Genomic DNA, 21,989 nt, shown 5'->3' with positions numbered 1-21,989 from the left:
CTTATTTTTATTGAGATGGACTCTCGCTGTGTTGACCAGGCCGGTCTCGAACTGCTGGCCTCAAGCGATCCTCCCATCTTGGCCTTCCAAAGTGCTAGGATTACAGGCGTGTGCCACTGCACCCAGCCTGTAATATCCTTTATAATAAACTGGTAAACATAAGTAAGTTTTTCCCCAAGGACTGTGAGCTGGTCTAGCAAGTTAAATCCCAGGAGGGCGTTGTGGGAACCCCAGTTAACTGATTGGTCGGGAGCACGGGCAAAAAATAACCTGAGGTTTGCAATTGACACGGAAGGGTGGGGGAGGTCTTGAGGACTGGAGCCCTCAACCTGTGGGATCTGATGCTATCTCCAGGTAGATAATGTTGGAATTCAGTCATTAATAGAAGACACCCAGCTGGTGTCCGCTGCAGAATTGATGGCTTGCTTGTTGTTGGGGAGAAACCCCACACATTTGGTCACAGAAATTTTATGTGGTGTGTGAGAACAAAGGAAAAACAGTTTGTGTGTGTTTTTTCCCACTCAGATATTCAGGTAAATGTTACCACATTTTGTGCCTTAACGGGGGAGGTTTTTACTCATTAATTCATTCATTCTAGAGACAGGGTCTTACTCTGGAGTGCAGTGGTGTGATCATGGCTCACTGCAGCCCCCCAGGCTCAGGTGATTCTTCCGCCTCAGCCTCCTGAGGAGTTGGGACTACAGGCACATGCCACCACACCTGGCTAATTTTTATATTTTTAGTAGAGATGGGGTTTTGCCATGTTTCCCAGGTTGGTCTCAGAATTCCTGGGCTCACGTGATCTGCCCACCTTGGCCTCCCAAATTGCTGGGATTATGGGTGTGAACCACTGCACACGGCTGGGAGGATGTTTTCAATACCTAAAACAGAATTGTATGTCTCTAGCTTATCGTCACACAAATCATCCACAGTTTGAAAGTTTGTTTTCCAATTCCCAATTCTGTGTGTTCAAGTTGTAGGAAATTTAAAATGCTGAAAAGTTTAAAGGAAAAATACTCATCCAAGTAATTCATCATTAATTTTTGGGTAAACTAATTTTCTCTCACCTCCTTCCTCTCTTCCTTTTCCTTCTTATCCTTTCTCACTTCCTTTTCCTTCTTAGCCTTCCTCACTCCCTCCCTTTTTCCTTTCCTTTAGTTTTTAACTAAGACATAATTATAGTCTCACTGTAAATAAAAGTGTTCTACTTTTTCATTTAAAGCCATTTACACAGGATTTTTCTCAGTCACTTTACCAGCTGGGGACCTTTGGCTGGTGACCCCCGTGTCCGGGCCTTGCTTGGCTATGCTACCCTCCCACTTGGCCTGCCTGTGCCACACCTGGCTTGTGCTCTGGCTCAGCTAGTGGCTGGGCCAGTCATGCCCCAGCCTACCTGTGTTACGGCTCATACCCACGTTTGGCGGTTCCTGAGTTCTTGTTCTGCATCCAAGAAGAATGAGGATATGCTGACAACTGAAGGGTGAGGAAGGCAGACGTAAATTTTATTGAGCAATGAAACAGTTCTCAGCAGAAAGGGGATGCGGGGGTGGTTCCCCACCCGAAGTTGTGTGGTTTTTCCCCCAGTGTGGCTGGGTCCTGGGCTTTTACAGGCTCAGAATAGGGGAGTGTGTGCTGATTGGTTTGTGAGTATGCAAAAAAAAGTTAAAAGCACCACTCAAAGGTGGGCTTGACAGTGTAAGAAACCAATTAGGGAAGTGTAGGTATATGTAAGATAGGTGAAGGGTGAGGATCAATCAGAGGAAAGTGTGCCAAATGGCAAGACAGGTTCTCAATCCGGTCCCTGGATTTATCTGGGACTTGTAGTTCTCTTGAAAAACAAACAAAAAATACTGTGTATCTCGACCTTCAGGCTTTAAACTGTCTTTGATTTGAAGGTGGGGTTTCACTGGGGACCTACCCCTGTCTGCCTAGGCATTTGTCTGCCTGCTGCTGCTCTCAACATAAGCATTTTTGTTCATTATAAACTTACCATTTTAAATGGCTGAATTGAACTTCACCATGTAAAATGAACCAGGGTTTACCAAACCATTTCCTCAATCATTGTTAGACATGTAAATTGGTGGCGGGGAGTGTTTCTTTGCTCTTATAAATGGTAATGATGAAGGGAGCGTTTCTATATGAAGTTTTTTTTGTGTGTGTGGTAATGACTAGGTTAATGTGCAGCGAATTTTAATTAAGAATGACAGAAATGTAAAGTTCATACCCATAGTGTTAGGGTAAACTAAAAAAAAAACTTTTTAAAAAGACAAATGACAATTAAAAGTAAAAATATAAATAGTTCTTGTGTTTTGTATTTAAATATGCAAAGATACCAGTGTTTAAATTCTTGAAATTATTGTTTTTTTTTTCTCTTTAGTCTCTTAATCCTTGGTTTGACCTTAATCTTTTCATAGTCTATATTCACTAAATAATAGTTGATAAATCCTTGAAATACTTGTTTTATATACTGTGGATATGTTGGATATTTTCTTTTGATTTCTTTTTTATATTTTTGAAATATCCATGATTATTACTATTTCTTGTTTCTCTGTGAAACATTTTATTGCCTAAGAAACAGTTCAGTGAAATAATGTTTTCAGTGATGTCTGTCCAGCCAGTAAGTAGTACACAGTATTTTTTGTTTGTTTTTCAAGAGAACTAGTGAATACAAAACTGTTTAAATTTACTTTACGTTAGGTACCATATTTTGTGATTTAATTGCATTGATTTTCATCTTAATGTAAATGCATAATGGCTAGCTTGTTTGGAATGTAGGGGAGGAAAACTTTTCCTCCACCCACTTAGGCTCTATTGCTGGGATCTGTGAATTAAACTAACAAAAGACATTAACAGGGGAAGAGGTCTACAGCTTGTATTGATGTTAATATTTTTGCACGCACAGGGGCATCAAAGAAAAAGATGTAAAATCCCAAAGAAACACTTAGATTTAGAGGCTCATATACCATCTTAACAAAGAGTGATAAATTGTGGAAGGACAAAGGAGGGGATGTTTGGATTTCTAGGGTTGATAAACTGTGGGAAGGTGATTAGACGGTGTATGGAGGAAACCATTGGTAGAAAAGGTTTATTTATTAAGGTTTGTTTATGCAGATTCATCTTGGTGCCATCTCTCTGTGCTGTGATAAGGATTGTTCTTTTCTTCCTGGTGTAGAAGAAGGGGGAGTTTATGCCTTACTCTTAAGTAGAAAAAGGGAAGGCATAGAACTTTTCCTGAATCTGTTGATTCTTAATTGCTTTCAGCTCAAAATAATATACCAAAGTGGCATAGTTGGGGGTGGCATCTCCTGATCCCCATTCAGGAGTTTGTGGTTTTTCAGGTTAATCTGGCTATAAATTCTGTATAAAATCTTCTATGCATTATATGAGAATGCATTTTCTATGCCGAATCTTACGGTTAATGAAACATTTTAGGTTTTCTTTAAGGGTTTCATAAAATTTTAAGAGTTTAAGAATTATGCTAAAAAAAATGGTTCTAGGTAGAGATATTTTGTATGATATGGATTTTGTATGTTCCAAGCATTTTATTTTCTCTCTACTAAGTTTAAGATCTTGTGTAATCCTCGTAATAGTCAGGTGTTTCTGTTTTACAGGCAAGTAAACAATGTTAGCGAGGTAGTGGAGTCTGGATTTAAACCTTGGTATTCTGACACTGAACTGCTTGCTGGCATTAAGATAATTTTTAAAAGAAAGATAGGTACAAAGGAAAAAAAAAAGAGGCTGCTTCCTATATCCCCAGTTGCCTTACTCAGTGCCTCCTGCATAGGCGGGTATACATGAGAAGGGAGTGACAGTGTATAGATGTCACTGAAAACTCAGAATCAGTGTTTTGAGGCAAATACGTCCATTAAATACATGTTTATATGTATATATAAGTATATGTATAAATATAAATGTGTATATTAAGAGGCAAGAGCATCAATTTGCTTATTAAGTTAGCTAAAAACATCTGAGACTTTTTCTGCTCTACAACTTAGAAAAGGGAAGTAGGTAGGAGTTGTTTTCAAACAACTTGGATTCTATGTGTGGATTCATTTTCAGTGTGGCTGTTTGCCCACTTTCATTTTCATTTTTAAAAATTCCTCCATGTAGTTGGCCAGCATATTTTAGGGCTTCTCCAGTATTTAAGTTCTAAGAAATGGAATTTTATTATTTGGTATGAATACTGTTTGAGATTTGGGCTATATTTAAAAAATAAAAAAGCTAATGTTAGGGAAATACAATTAAAACCAAAATCTCCCAACCCAGAAAATTGCTCCACAAAGGTAGAAAAGAAAGAAAACAATGTTATTATTGAATGAACATTAAATCAGACTGCTGTGCCCATCACAGGCAGTCACTAAAGGGATGGCAAAGACAGAAAGAAATCTTACTGTTTTATGTAACTAAATGGTTACAATCCATTACATCCATATTTTCAAGATAAAATTGCTAATTTTTTTTCACATTTTTATGACTAGAGGTAGGTTTTACATTTTGGAGTCAGGTGACAGATTAGGCCCATCTCCTCCTAGGAAACCAGGCGATTGAGTGTTATTTCCCATTTCAGAGATGGCTTTCAGGTCCTTAGGAAACATAGCCAAGTTATAAGACTAGAGACTTAAATTTATATACATTGAAAGGGAGGGAGAAATAAAATCTGGAAAAGAAAAGGGGAAAGGGACCTCTTCCCTTTTATTTTCAGCAGGGAGAACTATGCCTCTTATTTTTAATTTGTATTTGTCCTTACGTCAACAGTCAGTATTTTGTATCTATACCATGGCTGTCCTAAGTGATGTAGGCGTGATTGCAGTTAAAATAATGCCTTGTATCTCACATAGCACTTTTGTTACTAGGAACTTAAAGTGCTTCATACATTTTTTTAGTTTTCTCTGTTAGCTTACCATGAGTATTGCTTATACTGTTTTAATGTCACTATATTGTGGTTTTTTTCCATTTGTTTATCCTGGAACTTTATAGAAGTCATGCATTTTGGGCTTTGTGAGAGTAGGAATGAAATCTGGATGGTAATATTTGCAAAGTTAATAATGTCAGAATCTGTGATGCATAATAACATGGATGAGTTGAAATTATTTTGTCACCAATTTTGAAAATTCACAGCAGAAAGTTCTAGGTGCCTTTAGGCTTCAGATCTGAATGGTTAGCTCTTTCTTGCTACTAGCCTGTGAAAGGATACAGCCTCGTTACTGCATTTAGTTGCTAATGTGGATTAAGTTTGCTAGTTTGTACTAAAACTTGACTGTCTGATATGTGGCGTGCCTGTTTCAGAGTTATCTTAAAGGGGCCTATGAAACAGGATTTTGCAGGTTTGTACTTTACTTCACAGTGATCAATTAAAATGAGAAAATGACCTATTAGCTTTGAATTACCAGTATAAAATAAGTTGCTATTATACTTGACATATTACCTTTCTAATGTATGTATGGAATTATCAATGGAAATAATGTGGATAACTTAGCAATAATTTTGTAATAGTTGGGTGACATTGAATTTTAAAGGATTATCAACTTAGTAATTTGATTATGGCATTTCTAGGAATGAGGTGAGTCTGAATTGGAAATCATCTCTAGAGGGTGACACAGCAGGACATGTTGGTGTGCGTGGTCTTTGCATCCTACTAGGTGGCGGTATAGAATGAAATTAAAAATTAAATGAAGTCTGAGGTAGCCTTAGAAAACACAAATTTGGCTGGTTGCAGTGGCTCACACCTGTAATCTGCAGTATTCAATACAGCATGTTACTGTACTGAGTACTGTAGGCAGTTGTAATGCAGTGGTATTTGGGTAATCTTTTGGGACTACAGCACTTTGGGAGGCCACGGTGGGAGGATCACTTGAGCCCAGGAGTTCGAGACCAGCCTGGGAAACATGGGGTGGCCCCAGCTCTACAAAATAGAAAAAAAAAATAAAAAACAAAAAGAAAAATGAAAACATAAGCACTGACATATTGGGAGATAGGAAGATATGCTCATATACAGCATGGTACTGATTTATCATAGTGTTTAAGTATTTTTAAAGCCAAGTTTTACTGAGGGAAAAGGTAATTTAATGCCAAGAGTTATCCCTTCTATCTAATTGGATTGTACTAACAAGTTGTTTTTCCTGGCTGTATTAGAACATAATATCCCAATTTTAAAGGGCAGTTCTTTTAGACATGCATTGTCTTGTTGCCCAACAGATAAAGAATTTTATGAGGGATCTTAAAAAGTAGAACATCTCTTAAAGTTCGTTTTAAAAAATGAGTTGTCTCTTCTAAAATTTCTCTCTGATTGCTTTTAGGTTACCTAGGGTATGAATTAATACAGACTTGGAAACTCTGAAAGAACTTAGAATCAGCATTTTGAGGTAAATATGTATATGCCAAAGTAGTGATAAGGTTGCCCCAGTCTGCTTTGTTGACTTCTTAGCAAAACAAATTTGTGTATGAAATGAGAACTTTAACCTCCATGAGAATGTCTTTTAAAGGACTGGAAGTAGTAAAAAGAGGCCACTGCCAATTTGTTTTTCCTGAGCTTATGGTAGTGGAGGCATTGCAGAAGGCTCAGACCTGAGCGCAAACCAAGTCTGATGTCAGATCTAACAAAATCAGTATTTGTTGATCAAATTAAACTTTTTATATCTACATTTTATGCTTTCTTAGTTTTTGATTTATAATCTCTTTTAGAGAGCCACCCCAAATTTAAATTTATGCCCGACATTAACATTAACAGTGTTCTTGAATTATTTTATTTATAAACTAATTCTATAAAAATGTATAGTGTAGATGTAACTGTCCTTTTGTGTTTTTAATTTCATTTTGGGAAATTGGAATTGCTGATGGATTTCATACCTGTGTTAAAGAGTTACTACTGGGTTATTTGGATTTCTCAGCCAAGTACGTCTTCTGGTGACCTTCTTTATTTCTTTCGTTTATGTGAATTTAGGAAATAATAGCTATTTTTTTCATTTTTCTATAAAATACCATCTTTAGACTTTATTTACTTTGATTTCCTTATATTAGCTTTGAAATCTTTTTTTGAACTTTGCTCTAGCTCTTTATTTCTCCCAGATCTCTGGGAATTAGGCATGCTATTGTAGCTTATTCTCTTGTTCTTTGTTTTAGGGTAAGCCTTGGTATCCTAAAATAATCTAAATGCCTTTTGTTTAAAATTTAATTCAAAATAATGGCCTTTTATTCAACTCTTCATATCAGTAGGGCTCTCTTGTAGATGTGTTTCTGTTCAGTTTACAGGAATCTTAAACTTGGCTATTTTTGCATTTATTTTTAGAGCAGAAGCTTGGGCATGCTGTGATTTTCCAATAAACTGCTATCACAATGTCAAAATGCAGTTCAGACAAGAGCAACACAGAGATCTCAAACATTAAAACGGTAAATCTGTGATTCATCATGTGGAAAGAGGAAGAGAGTTTATTCTTGTCTTTCTTGTCTTTTGCTAAATTACAGTCATGCATTGCTTAATGACTGGATATCTTCTGAGAAATGCATTGTTAGGCGATTTTGTCATTGTGTGAACATCATAGAGTGTACTTAATTAACATAAACCTACATGGTATAGCCTATTATACACCTAGGCTATATGGTATGACCTTTTGTTCCTAGGCTACTAACCTGTACACCATGTTACTATATTGAATACTGTAGGCCGTTGTGACACAGTGGTATTTGTATATCTAAATATACCTAAGCATAGAAAAGGTACAGTAAAAATACAGTATCATAATCTTACGAGACCATAGTCTTATACGGGGTCAGTCTCTAAAACATTGTTATTGGGTGCATGACTGTATTTCTAAGTGCATAATATGTGGAAACTATGAAACAACCTCACTAGTTTCATGAGGGTAAGTTGTTTGACCAGAAATTTAAAATCTATAGTTGAAAAACAGTCATGTGGAGTTATTTTGGCTCTGCAAAAGCAGTTAATGGTAGCCAGTTTATCTGTGAAACTAGAACCTTTACCTGCCAGCAGAGATTCAGATCTTTTCATTAAGGCCAAGTTTAAAAAATCTGTTTAAACATGCCAAGAAAGTAAAAATTGGCAAAATTATAGGTTTTCCTGTTTTTATATTACAGATTACCTGTTGGAATTTTAAGTCTTGGATTTGTTTTCCCTAAATAGAAAGTGCATTACTGGGGCCAGTTATTGTCCACTAAATGAATGAAAATTAATTTAAACATTGTAACCTTATGGAAAATATAATTGGAAGGGTTAAATTGTTGTTCTTTATGTCCTTGTACATCCTCTCTCCTGCACTCATCTCTCAGGGCTGGTAGGAGTGGGATAGATGTGTGTTTCCAAACCGAATAGAAATATATCTTGATCCATCCATGATTCTGTTCTGTATATTATTGTGTGGACATTCATGAGTCTCTAATTCAGTTTGTCAAATATTTACTTAAATGTATATACAGAACATTGTAGCAGGAAATTTAAGAGGTGCAAAGAATGAGACTCATGTCTTGTTCTTATGGAGCTGTGCTCCAGTAAAAGAATAACATGTATGTTGTGTATGTGTGTCTATGAATAGCTCTAAAAATCTGTGATAGAAATTATGAAAGGCAAATAGAAGCTGTTTGAGGTTTTAATGTCACTCAGGTGGACATTGTTTTCATTCTAACAACCTGCAGTTTTTGTTTACCATGTCCTGGATGTGGTTCTGTACAGTGGGTAATACAGGTAAGGGTAAGATATGCAGCTCCTATATCCAAGGAAATTCTAGTCTAATTGGTCATATTTTAGTGAGAACAGAGTTTTAAGAGAAATTTTCTAAATAAGAATTCATATAAAATTACAGAAGTACATTTTATGGATTAAGACTATACCCCAAGCCTCTGTAGTATAACTGCTAGGATCACTTGGATTGAGCACATAGGATTGAAATACAGGATTAAACACTTTCAGTTGGTCAGTCAGGGAGGATGCATAATATGCTATAGGCTTTCAGCCAACAGGGATTACTCTTCTGTTGTGGAAATTGCTGGTGAATGGTGATGAGGCAGCAATAGGATAGCATTCTTTTTTTTTTTTTTTTATTTTTTTATTTATTTTTATTTTTTTTATTATACTCTAAGTTTTAGGGTACATGTGCACATTGTGCAGGTTAGTTACATATGTATACATGTGCCATGCTGGTGCGCTGCACCCACTAATGTGTCATCTAGCATTAGGTATATCTCCCAATGCTATCCCTCCCCCCTCCCCCGACCCCACCACAGTCCCCAGAGTGTGATATTCCCCTTCCTGTGTCCATGTGATCTCATTGTTCAATTCCCACCTATGAGTGAGAATATGCGGTGTTTGGTTTTTTGTTCTTGCGATAGTTTACTGAGAAGCTGGGTGAATAATCTGAACGTAAGGTTACAGGTCGGCAGAAGTCAGGCAGTCATGAGTGGGGGCAGTACTTTTCAGAGTACATTTGGGACTAGATATCACAGAGTGTAGTGCTTTGCTTAATTTCCTTTTTAAATATCAACTTTTTAATGAATTCCATTCCAGTAGTTTGTATTATTTTCTTACACATGGTTTTTTGTGAGAGCTGATAGAAACCTTAATCTTTTCAGGTATTTTTGGTTAGAGATGTTATTTCTGTATTTCTTTATTGTTTGATATTTATTTTTACTATATAATGTATCTATTTTCTCTTTATTTAGAGCCTAAATGTTGATAAATGTAACCTTTCATTTCTCTGTTTTTTTTTTCCACTTTTTTTCTCAGATTGATTCTTAGAAACCAGCTACCTATCATTTTTTTCTAAACCCTGTGAAAGTTTTAGGGTGGGGTAGGGCATTTATGAGAAATGTTGTGTTTGCTAAGAAAAAAAAAAAATCTCTGTCCTTTGAAATGCCAGGAACAGAACCTGGACACTGAGTGAATTTGCAACTCCTCCTTTTCCAAGCTCTTTACCTGCTGGTTTGTAGGAATAGGATCCACATACTTGAGTGAGGTTGGTGTCTTGAGGTGAAACCGGGCCTGAGAAACATTGGAGGTCTAGGGCTTATTTTCCAGATAGAATTGAGTCTTTGTTGGTCTTGGGCCAGCTTCCCTGCCCTGCCTGTTTTCTCCTTTGTGATTTTATGAGAACAAAGGAGGAAATAGGCAGGCCAGGGAAACGATCTCTCTCCCTCTCTTGTGCCGAGGAAGAACTGTCCAGATTTTTCCTCAATTTGTTTCCGAAACAAGCGGCTTTGCAGTTTCAAAAAGAATTTACTGATAGCAGAAAGTGAAAAAAAGTATTCCTAAGGACAAATAAGGAGAACATTTTCAAAGTCTTAGAAGCTTCTTGGTAGAGCTCATCCCTGGTTTTTTGGAGTCTAAGACCCTTGACTTTTCCCTTACAAACAAAGCTTTTCACCTTGCTTGGGGTCTGGCTGCAGTACTTGTTCATTATCTCAATATTTGTGGCCTGATGGCTTTCTGCTTTGATCCCTGACTTTTTTCCTTTCCCCTTCCCCTTTCCCTTCCCCTTCTCCATTCCCTTCCCCTTTTTCTTTCCCTTTCCCCTTTCCCTTTTCCTTCCCCTTCCCCTTTCCCTTCCCCTTCCCTATCCCCATTCCTGTCCCCTTTTTCTTTCCCTTTCCTCTTCCCCTTTTCCTTCCTCTTATTCCCTTCCCCTTTTTCTTTCCCTTTCCCCTTTACCTTTTCCTTCCCCTTCCCCCTTCCCTTTTCCTTCCTCTTTCCCTTCCCCTTCCCCTTTCCCTTTCCTCTTCCCCTTTCCCTTTTCCTTTTTCTTTTGCCTTTCCCTTCCCCTTCCCCTTTCCATTTTCCTTTTTATTTCCCCTTTCTCTTCCTCTTCCCCTTTCCTTTCCCCTTCCCTTTTTCCTTTCCCCTTCCCCTTTTCCTTCTCCTTCCCCTTTTCCTTCCCCTTCCTCTTCCTTTCCCTTTTCTTTCCTTTTCCCCTTTCCCTTGCTTTCCCTTTTTCCTCCTTTCCTTCTTTCCCTTCTTTCCTTTTTTTCCTTTCCTTTCTGTTCATATCTGTTCTTTGCTTTCCTCTTTTCTACTTATACCTTTTACAGGAAGTGATAATAGTGATTTAGAGAGTGTCATTTGGTTTGCTTTTATCCCAGAATATTCAACTCAAGCTAGCTTGGATAGTTAAGGAATTTGTTGGCTCAGTTAATTGGAAAGTCCATTGTTAGGCTGGGCTTTGAGTTTGGTTGATCCAGCAGTTTATTGATGTCATCAATGACCCAGGTTCTTTATTTTTGCCATCTGCGGTGCTGGTTTCATCCTAAGGCTGGATCTTTTCATGGGTCTGTGTAGTGTAATTGCAGCAGCAAATGGGACTAATAATTTCATGAGTCATCTTTAGAGGGAAAGAAAGACAACTGCTTCTCTTCAACCATCAAATGAAAGTCCTAAATTTTTTGCTGTTGGATGAGCATGAACCAATTCCTCTGGCCAGGGGTAAGTTGTATGCCCATCAGCTTAGGTTTGGGTGACTGGCAGATGGCAGAAAATAAGAAACTAGAGCCTAGGCAGCATAGTGAGACCCTGTCTCTACAAAAAATTAAAAAATTAGCCAGTCGTGGTGATGCACACCTGTGGTCCCAGCTACTTGTGAGGTTGAGGCTGCAGTGAGCCATCATTGCACCACTGCACTCAGCCTGAGTGATCGAGTGATTCTCAGTCTTGGTGAAAAAAAAGAAAAAAAGAAACTGGATCCTTGATCAGTGAGCCACTGTTTGACTGAGACCACGCTGAGTTGAGCATGGCTATTACCTGTGGAGGAAATGGAGTATTTGAGAGCTAGCCAGAATCACCTGTCCTTGTGCTTTTGAATACATAAAGGAATGAGGTATTTATTTATATTTGAGCAGAAAATGAAGAAAAAGATTTATGTTGCAAGAATAATAGGACAAAAATATGTGCTGTACCCATTTTGCCCCACTTGCTTTATCAGCTGTGTGTGTGTGTGTGTGTGTGTGTGTGTGTGTGTGTGTATCTACATGTAGATTCTTTTTCTGTACCATTTGAGAATAAGTTACATGTATCATAGCTCTTTACCCCTAAATACTTCAGTGTATATTTTCTAACAATAAGAGTATTGTCTTACATAGCCACAGTCAGTTATATCAACTTCAGGGAATTTTAACATTGCTGTTATCTCGTTTTAAAAATGAATTCAATAATGTCCTTTATGAATGAGATCACTATTTATGTTCTTTGCAACATTATTCATAATAGCCAAAATATTGAAACAATCTAAGTGTCCATCAACAGATGAATGGGTAAAGAAATTGTGATACACAAACACACATGGAGGAATATTATTCAGCGCTAAAAAGAAGGAAATCCTGCCATTTGCAAAAACGCAGATGAACCTGGAGGACGTAATACTAAGGATAATAAGCCTGTCTGTTATTTCCATCTTTATGTCCATTTGTATCCATATAGTCTTTGTTAATCTGGAACATTTTCATAGTTTTTCTTTGTATTTTATGGCATTGACATTTTTGAAGAATACCCTCCCCAGCTTTAAAAAATAAAACATTCCTAATTTATTTTTAGACTATTTTTCTAAAGTTATTTATTGTTATTACTAATGTTATCTATATGAGAAGAAATGGTGACAGTTGTAGGGAGGAGGGGGTGCTGCTGGTTCCTGGACATACCTGGTTTCTGGAAGTAGGAGAAGATGTGTTGGGTATTTACATCACGGCCCTCTTTTCTCCTTTGTTTTATATTTTCATCCATCATCAGAACTTAGACTTGTTTCTTGGTACCTTCTACCATGTCTTCAATAAGTCTAGGATTAGCATTTGGGTTGGGTGAAAGTGAAGGGTCAGGCTTAAGGGTGAATAGTGCTAGACAGTATGCAGTCTGTAGTCATGAAGGAGAATTGTGGAGGTATCACGAGAGTGGATTCCAGGTGAGAAGGTCAGTGATGGGACCCGCAGATCTTAGCCTTGGGCCTTCAGAGTGGCCTCCTGATCTCAGACATTTTGGTAAAATAGACTTCCACATAGGGTTCTTGGCAGTTGTATTAAGAAAAAAGTTTAACTGATGAGCCTGCAAGTCCTGAGGGCTTGCTGAATTTGGGAAAGTGGGTACTAGGCTTGGGTACTAGGGTAAAAGGAATGGCTGTTGGGGCTTTGATTCAGAGAGAATTAGCACATTATTTTTCGTGAAGAACATAGTTCTCTTTGATCCAGGGAAATTATGGGTTAATATTATCTCATAAAGTACTCTGTGGTACTTCGCTTGTTCCCTTCTGGAAAGATGATGAGCGTGATTGTGCTGTCAGGCCCGCAGACGTGCTGTCTTACCGGGCTCTCAGCTCCGGCAGTGGGGTGCCCCTGCACTGCTTACTTGAGATAGTACTTTATGGTAGCTGAATGTTGAATTCTTGTCAACAGAATTAATTTCTCAAATCAGAATTCAGTATTGTGTTGTATAAGAGACCCTACACTTGAGACTTCTTGTTGAAATAGTTGCAACAACTTAAGTCATGTGTTGTACTTAACATGTCAGGAGATTCAAAAGTTTTGGTTGTTAAGTAACAGAGTTGAATTATCTCTTCCAGTTTCATAGAGTAATAGCAATGAACACTCCAAAGCAGTGCAAGAGAGGAAATTCCCTTCTGTGGGGCGAGGAAATCCTGCTGACAGTAAAGCCAGTGGTAGGCTTTCACACAGATATTTGAATCCCTGACCCTCTGTTTGAAGGGTAGGAATTTTAAAGTTTCAGTTTTTATCATTTTACATAATCAAATTTATCTGTGGGAAAAACTATATGAAATATAGAAAGTGCTTAGATACCATGAAAAAATTTTTATTTCACAGAGTGGTGTCATTTGTTTTAATTTATCTAGGATATGTATAATTTTAAAGATACATATTTAAATAGTTGTGCATTTATAATAGGTTGTCAATTGAGAAAAAGGCCTGTGTTCGTGAGCTGTTGATAAAGTGACAATTTTAGCAGGTGTCTAAATCTTTCGTGGTGCAGGCACAGTGCTAAGTGCCTTCCATACATTATCATTTTATCAGTAACGTCATAGAATATACAAAGAATGTTCAAAATTTATTTATGTGTATATTTACATATTTTATATATGTACATATATTTAACAAGGCATCATGCTGTACATATTTTCTTTTAAAGGTTTATTATGGACATTGTTCTGTGTCAGGAACTACAGATATGTGCTATAATCTTAATGGATTCAAAGTATTCCATTATATAGTCATAGCATAATTTATGTAGCTTATTTTTTACCAGTAGATTTTAAAGTTATTTCTTATTTTTAAGTAATAATGCAACAACAAATATTCATGTACATCTCTTTGTGAAGTTGCTTGATTCATTCTTTAAGACAAATTTCTAGGCATAGAATCACTGGGTAAGGTACAGAATGCTTGACTCCTAAAATGATCCTCTTAGATCAAGAAAAAGCTAAAACAATTATAGGAAGAGTTTGAATGGCTCATAGGAATGATATTCTGATGTTTCTCTTGTTTCTGTGCTTTCTTTGTTTTTAACCCTGCATGATTGTGTAATGGTATTCTTTTTCCCTTTTGTAGTAAGCTGTGCTAGAACAAAAATGCAATGAAAGAAACACTGGATGAATGAAAAGCCCTGCTTTGCAACCCCTCAGCATGGCAGGCCTGCAGCTCATGACCCCTGCTTCCTCACCAATGGGTCCTTTCTTTGGACTGCCATGGCAACAAGAAGCAATTCATGATAACATTTATACGCCAAGAAAATATCAGGTACTAATGCGAACACTAATACTGGAGCATTCTACACTAAAATGGAATACATTAGCATATAGTTGACACAACTTATATAAAACTCATTTACCCTTTCAGGCCTCCCACTTCTGATTAATTTTCTCATTTAAAATACTTTTATTCTTAATAGTCCTTTTCTTTTCTAACATCTGCTGGGTAATTGGATTTGATAGTTGTATTTGTGAAGTTTCTTTTTTCCCCCTCTGAAAACCTCACTGTTCCTTAATATTCACTTGGATGTGTCTGTCCTAGTGAGCTGGGTAGGAACCTAGATTAGTTTGAAAATGTTCAGCCATGAACTGGCAGAACCACGATTACTCTAAGTTTAGTCATTCATGTTATTCTAAAGAAGTATTCTGTGTATACAAAAATAATGCTTAAAGAAAGGGTAAATGCCATTTCAACACGTATTTACACAATACAGCTGTATATAGCAGGCATTTTATTCCTCTGAGTTATTCTCGTATAAAGACGTAGACTGTGGGGTTTTTTTTGTAAATTTATTGGAGGACGATTTTAGAGAATAGTGAAATTTCCTGATTTAAAATAAAATCCAATTTTATAAATTTTGTACTTAGGTAAGAAGTGCATAACTTTTTTTTCACCATGTTTCTAGGTTGAACTGCTTGAAGCAGCTCTGGATCATAATACCATCGTCTGTTTAAACACTGGCTCAGGGAAGACATTTATTGCAGTACTACTCACTAAAGAGCTGTCCTATCAGATCAGGGGAGACTTCAGCAGAAATGGAAAAAGGACGGTGTTCTTGGTCAACTCTGGTAATAAAAAATTATTTTATCAAGTTGTGCAGGGGAAATTGGATGGGATTTTATGTTTAAACAGATTTTCTGTGTTTCTTAAGTTAAATTATTGAAGAAAGTTTGACAGATAATGTACTCATTTAATCTCTTCTGGCAGAAATTGTTTTGTCCTATTTCTTTTTGCTGTTTCTCTTAAATGTTCTGCTTCTGTATTTCTTTTGAATGGATTGCTTTTGGAACATAAGTATTGGAACATATGTACATTAGAACATAATCTAAGTTGTTACATTTATTTTTTTCTTGATGTTTTAGCTTCACCAAGTATGTCAAAAGGTGCTTAATTATGGATAATTAACGTTTGTACTTATGATTTTGCTAATCAGTTGTATTAATAAAGTTACATGCTGCTTAGAAATTAGATATTCAGTTAAGAGTTTAAAATACTGATTTTTATATGCTTGGATTATATATAAAAATAAAAAATATAAAATGTGAACCTAAGCTGGTAGGGCACTAATATATTCATGTCACTGCTCTTTTTTTAGGTTGTCTCAGTATAACTATCTGCTTTAAATACATGTTAGACTGTCTTGTTTCCATCTGATTTTATTGAAGAAAACAGGAGGGTGGCTTAGAGGAAATCAGCTATGAAGAAGAAAGGTGGTGTAGGGTTCTCTGAAGCGAGTGACAAAAAGTGAGGTGGCAAGTCTAGTAGGTGCCATTTTTTTGGAGGATAACCTTGGAACTGTGGTTTTAAAGAGGCTATCAAAAACATTGTTGGTTAGGTCTAATATAATAATAAGGATTTCTGTAGACTGTTAATCATTAGTAGTCCAGAGAGCCAACTAGGCAAGATTTCTCATATTTACATGGAGTATTATATTTGTAATTAGCAAACCAGGTTGCTCAACAAGTGTCAGCTGTCAGAACTCATTCAGATCTCAAGGTTGGGGAATACTCAAACCTAGAAGTAAATGCATCTTGGACAAAAGAGAGATGGAACCAAGAGTTTACTAAGCACCAGGTAAGACTTGTAGAGAAATTTCACTTTATAAATCCCTACAAGTTCTTGACTTGGTTTGTAAGATGATCTGTAGCCTTGGTTGTCTGATTTAGGTTTGAAAACTAATTTCCTATACTTAATCAGCCTAGAAGCTAGTCCTGATGTACTATATCTTACTGTAAGTCTTACCTTAAAACCAAATAAAGGCCGGATGCAGTGGCTGACGTCTGTAATCCCAGCACTTTGGGAGGCTGAGGTGGGTGGATCACCTGAGGTCAGGAGTTCAAGACCAGCCTGACCAATATGGTGAAACCCTGTCTCTACTAACAATAAAAAAATTAGCCGGGCGTGGTGGCGTAGTAGTCCTAGGTACTCGGGAGGCTGAGACAGGAGAATTGCTTGAATCCAGAAGGTGGAGTTTGCAGTGAGCTGAGATCGCGCCACTGCACTCCAGCCCGGGTGACAGCGAGACTCCATCTCAGAAAAAAACCCAAAAAACAAATAAATTACTAATTTTTATTGCTCTTAACTTTGTAGAAAAGAAATAGGTTTCAGTATGATCTGCTTGCTTGAAAAACACAAATTCCTATGACCTATTTCCAACTTGCTGATAATGCGCTTTCAAAAAATTTAGTCTTGAGTTAAATGTCTTGAAACTGGAAAAATTTCTTGCTTGAGCTGTTTAGGTCTTTGACGGAGACTTCCTCTAACTGAATGTTTCCATGCAGCCAGCATGTGCTGGAGGCTCCTCTAACTTACATGTTTCCATGTAGCCAGCATGTACTGGGGCTTTTGGTGTGTTGGTCATTGGGGGATACACAGTGATTAAGAGGCGCTTCCTCACTGAACTGAAACAGCCCAGCCTACTAGTGTGCTTCACATACTGGGATAAGTCCTCATTAATAAAGCACTTAAATATCCACATAATGATAGGCTACAAAAATAACATTTAGTCTGAGTTTTCTTCCAGAAAACCATGTCAGTTCAACAGAAAAAAATAAAAAGTGTGAATTGTTTTGTGATTTGCCTAAATTGACAGATCTCATCAGTCATAATATGGCTGTGGGGATCTAAGAACCTGAAGTAAATTTAGATTTGTCGTCAAGACATGCTTTCCATTATCAAGATATTTTTTCTCTACTCTTTTCCCATGCTTTCCTGATTTCCTTCTTAGTTCTGATGTATAAAATTATATGTATTTAGTATTTTAGTTTTAATTTTGACTAATGAATTCCTTAATCCTCACTTATGATACAATGGCTCTATGATCTGATTTTATGTAAGTATATCCAGGCAGTGAATGCTATGTTTGTTTACTGATGTTGATTTTATTTTAGGTTCTCATTATGACTTGCTATGTCGCCTTGAATGTTTTGAAAAATGGTTACTTATCACTGTCAGACATTAACCTTTTGGTGTTTGATGAGTGTCATCTTGCAATCCTAGACCACCCCTATCGAGAAATTATGAAGGTAAGTTTTAGACCTAAGTCTTAGTAATTCTTGGTAAACTATTGAGTAAATGCAGATTTTTGTTTTTAGATTTCAAAAGCAATAATATTAGTTATCAATATTGGGAGTTTGGCTGCAGTGTATGAATGAATGAATATTAAATTAATGTTCATTTAAATCTATAATAAACTTTTAAACATCATAATAAATTCTATATAATTTTCATAGTGTATCTAATTGAGCCTTTTTGAAAAACAGATCTTTTAAACAAACTACAGTAATTCTATGAGTAATTTTATGTTGTCCTTGGTATAGTGGCATTTCCACCAAACAAATTCTTTTTTACTATTTGTTAGTGATTTTGATATGTTTTAATATGGCGATGTCTCTCTTGTTATAGCCTTGCAAAATGAAGTCTTTACTGTCAGTATCTTTTATTATGTTAGCTCTGTGAAAATTGTCCATCATGTCCTCGCATTTTGGGACTAACTGCTTCCATTTTAAATGGGAAATGTGATCCAGAGGAATTGGAAGAAAAGATTCAGAAACTAGAGAAAATTCTTAAGAGTAATGCTGAAACTGCAACTGACCTGGTGGTCTTAGACAGGTATGCACTTCTGATTGACTCAGCTTTAATGAGATTAGTTGAAAACAATATTAAGTCTTTGGTGTTTTTGTAGTACCTTGCAGAGAGTACCTATTTAAGTGAACAAATGGCAGTAAAAAGGAATGGGCAAGAGTAAGAATTCTCTATAAGTACCATTACCTGTGAGTTCAAGAATCTAACGTTGTTTCCACAGAGAGTAGCAGACAGGCATTTCTGCCTTAAGAGATTATGTGTCAGCTCTTCCTATTTGCTGTTGTTGCCAAGGACTGGGAACTTTGACAGTAAATTTGTATTTTTTTTCTGTCAATATGTGTGCTTTGTTGTTCTGACCTGAATGTCTTACATGATGCTTTCAAAGAACATTAAGTTATTTAGAGAATTCAGCAGTATACTTTAAAATGTTTGGAAATACCCCTTTGTTTTGAAAATGGGTTGTGGATTTCAGAGAAAGTTGCTGTTTGTGATTTCTAGGTTTGACTCTTTTTGAGAGGGTTACTATTTTGAGTTTCATTGAAAAGCGCACACACACACAAAACCTTCATAACTTAGGTTGGTGGAAGGGAGCCTTTACAAATTAGGAAAATGGCTTTTCAAATGCAATGAATTCGATTTATGTCAAAATAGCCTTCCATTCTTACTAGATGTAGTCTTAAATAAGGCTAAAGATTACCTAGTGGTGGTTCTTAGGACAGTTACAATAAGTAGCGGAGACTGATTTCTCAAGTTGTGGAGTTAAGTCAGACATGGGTTTGAATACTAGCTCCACTAATTGTAAGCTGTGTGACCTTGAGTGAGTCACTTATTTCCTTGAACTTGTAAAATGGCATTGACAGTGGTTTCATGGGATTCTTTGATGATCAATTACATTGACACATAGAAAAATCTGCAGTGTGCCTGGCATTTAGTAAGAATTTGAGGAAAATTTTCTTTGGAGAGTGAGAAGGAAAGGTAATATTTGGGATCTATCAAACTTAGGTATCCAAATGCCATGTGAAATATAAATCTTACGACCTCTAGAACGTGCTGTGTCTGACTTCTTGAGCCAACACTGTGGTGGTGAAGTAGAAGGCCGTGCTTGTGCTTTTGTCTGACCTGAGTTAGAGTGCTTCACTTGTATTGCCCAAAGGTTTTCTGAGAAGTAGAAGTAGTAGAGCGTTTAAGTAAAACTGATAAGCAATCTGTTGAATAAGCATTACCTAATTCTGCAAATAAGGACTCTTTGGTTGAGTATAAATTCTGTTTTGGGTTAAGAAAAAAAGAACTATAGTATATATGTTTTTGCTAGATTTCTTTTATTAAAATTATCATATGTACTTTTAGGATATTATGTGCCATTCTGGTGGTCATTTTTTATGAAAGGCATAAAAGACCCAAGGAATGATATTAGAAATGAATGAAAGTTGGGGGAGTTTTCCTTATGAGGATTTAAAAATACATTAAAAATAAAAGTGATATTTGCAAATATTAAAAATTCACACAGATATGGAAATGGATAAATTGAATGATAAAACTCCCAGTGATCAGTCTTCCCATTCTTCTTTCCGCTTCTGCGAAGTGATTGAGTTTCATGAGTATTTTGAACACCCTTGTTCCTCATTCTGACAAATGCCTAAGGGGGCAAAAGATGGAAGTCTAAACCTAAAAAACAAAAGAAAACAAACTAATAATAATGAAATCTATTGGCAAAATTATTTGAATATCAGCCCCTGTGGTCATTTCTTGAGACCTAACAGGCAAGCGTAGTACAGATTGAGCAACCCTAATCTGAAAACGCGAAATTCAAAATGCTCCAAAATCTGAAACCTTTTGAGTGCTGGTGTGCTGCCACAAGTGGAACATTTCATATCTGACCTTGTGATGAACTGAAGCCAAAATGCGACCAAAACCTGTTTCATTCACAACATTATTTAAAAATATTGTGTAAAATTACCTTCAAGCTGTAAGGTGTATATGAAACATAAATGAATTTCATGTTTAGACTTGGGTCCCATCCTCAAGATACTTCATTTTTTATATGCAAATATTCCAAAATCTGAAAAATATTGGAAATCCAAAACAGTTCAGGTCCCAAGCCTTTCAGATAAGGGCACTCAACCTGTGCAGATAAACATGAGTACCACTTTAGGAAGGCATGTTGTAAGCCTGCCTTTTATATTGATTAGATATACAAACTGAAACTAGGAAGCTTCTTTTTGGAGTTAGACCTATAAATGGATCATAATGCTGTAGTGAGTTTTTTAGAAATGAAACAAAAGGTGTTCAGGGAGGCAGTAGGGTTTGGCTGAAAGAGCCCTCAGAGGAAGGCAGTCCTGAGTTTTGTTTAGACAGAGTCATGTAATGTCTTTGAACCTTCATTTCCTTCGTCATCCTCCCTGTGTGTGGATTCAGTTAGAAGGTATGTAAATTCCCAGCATCATGCTTGGGGATGCAGTGGATGCTCATTTGTATTCTTTTCTTTCCCCTCTTCTCCCCTTGCCTTTTGAAAACATCTTTTAAACAACACTTTACTGGTTTATAAAATACATTATTTACTGTTGAGAAATATGGTAATATAGAAAAATAATAATTAAACACCTAAAATCTCACCCCACTGCTAACATTCTGGCATTTTTTTTTTTTTTTAGTATCTATTCCCTTTTTTTTTTTTTTGCTTTTTGAAAAACTTTTTTTAAATTGCATTCTCACTACTGCAGTATTGATACCTTTTGTTTCTTATGTTAAAGGTATACTTCTCAGCCATGTGAGATTGTGGTGGATTGTGGACCATTTACTGACAGAAGTGGGCTTTATGAAAGACTGCTGATGGAATTAGAAGAAGCACTTAATTTTATCAATGATTGTAATATATCTGTACATTCAAAAGAAAGAGATTCTACTTTAATTTCGAAACAGGTAAGCATATACCAAGTAGGTATAGTGATTATATTTTGAAAGCTTTGTTAATTTTTAATATTGAAATGAAAATATGCTTAATGCGGCTCTTTTCTTTGCATTTTAGTTTAAGGTCTTAATCTTTTTAGACATTTTTCATTGAACATACCATATTAGGTTGAGTTCATTGTTATCCAGTGCACATTTATATTAAGTGTAGACTTCCCCTATTTAAGGAGCTGAGCTAGGATTCATGTCATGGTTATTTAAGTATAAGGAGTGAGTCCAATTTTTGTTTCTTTTTGGTCAGAAGAGTTAGTTCCTGTTCAAACCCTTGAATTAAACAAATTCTTCCGCAGTTTCCTAGTGTGTGTAACTGGATATGAGCCTATTGTCTCTCAGTGGTACTGCTTTGAGAAGAGATCCCTTAGGACAGTGATCCTTCCATTGTGGGCCCCACATCATCATCAGCAGCATCTGGGTGGGGTCCTCAGGACTGAATTTTACTGTTTGCAGTCTTCAGTTTTGAATTTCGATAAGCCCTC

At 36.5% G+C, this 21,989-nt stretch overlaps 1 protein-coding gene and 1 non-coding gene across 34 annotated transcripts in view; both read left to right on the top strand.

The window, feature by feature from the left end:
- Positions 1-21,989, top strand: part of DICER1 (dicer 1, ribonuclease III) — a 71,783-nt gene that overhangs the window by 9,966 nt on the left and 39,828 nt on the right. For 10 of the 33 annotated variants that reach the window (NR_172718.1, NR_172717.1, NM_030621.4 and 7 more), the window contains exons 2-9: positions 6,297-6,362; positions 7,286-7,386; positions 14,542-14,730; positions 15,368-15,530; positions 16,406-16,536; positions 17,853-17,987; positions 18,413-18,573; positions 21,297-21,465. Coding sequence is in view for 26 of the 33 variants with exons in the window: in NM_030621.4 (NP_085124.2) it covers positions 14,587-14,730; positions 15,368-15,530; positions 16,406-16,536; positions 17,853-17,987; positions 18,413-18,573; positions 21,297-21,465 (903 nt within the window). In the remaining 7 variants the exon portion in view is untranslated. Of the gene's footprint in view, positions 1-6,296; positions 6,363-7,285; positions 7,387-11,243; positions 11,423-13,541; positions 13,685-14,541; positions 14,731-15,367; positions 15,531-16,405; positions 16,537-17,852; positions 17,988-18,412; positions 18,574-21,296; positions 21,466-21,989 lie in introns of those variants that run through there. The other 23 variants (NR_172719.1, NR_172720.1, NR_172716.1 and 20 more) reach the window with 11 other exon arrangements.
- MIR3173 (microRNA 3173) lies at positions 10,059-10,126 on the top strand. The gene has a single exon (NR_036131.1). It is a non-coding gene; the product is annotated as a microRNA 3173 (primary transcript).

This window comes from Homo sapiens, chromosome 14, assembly GCF_000001405.40.
Source record: "Homo sapiens chromosome 14, GRCh38.p14 Primary Assembly".
NCBI lineage: Eukaryota > Metazoa > Chordata > Mammalia > Primates > Hominidae > Homo > Homo sapiens.
This window is presented reverse-complemented; position numbering and strand designations above follow the sequence as displayed.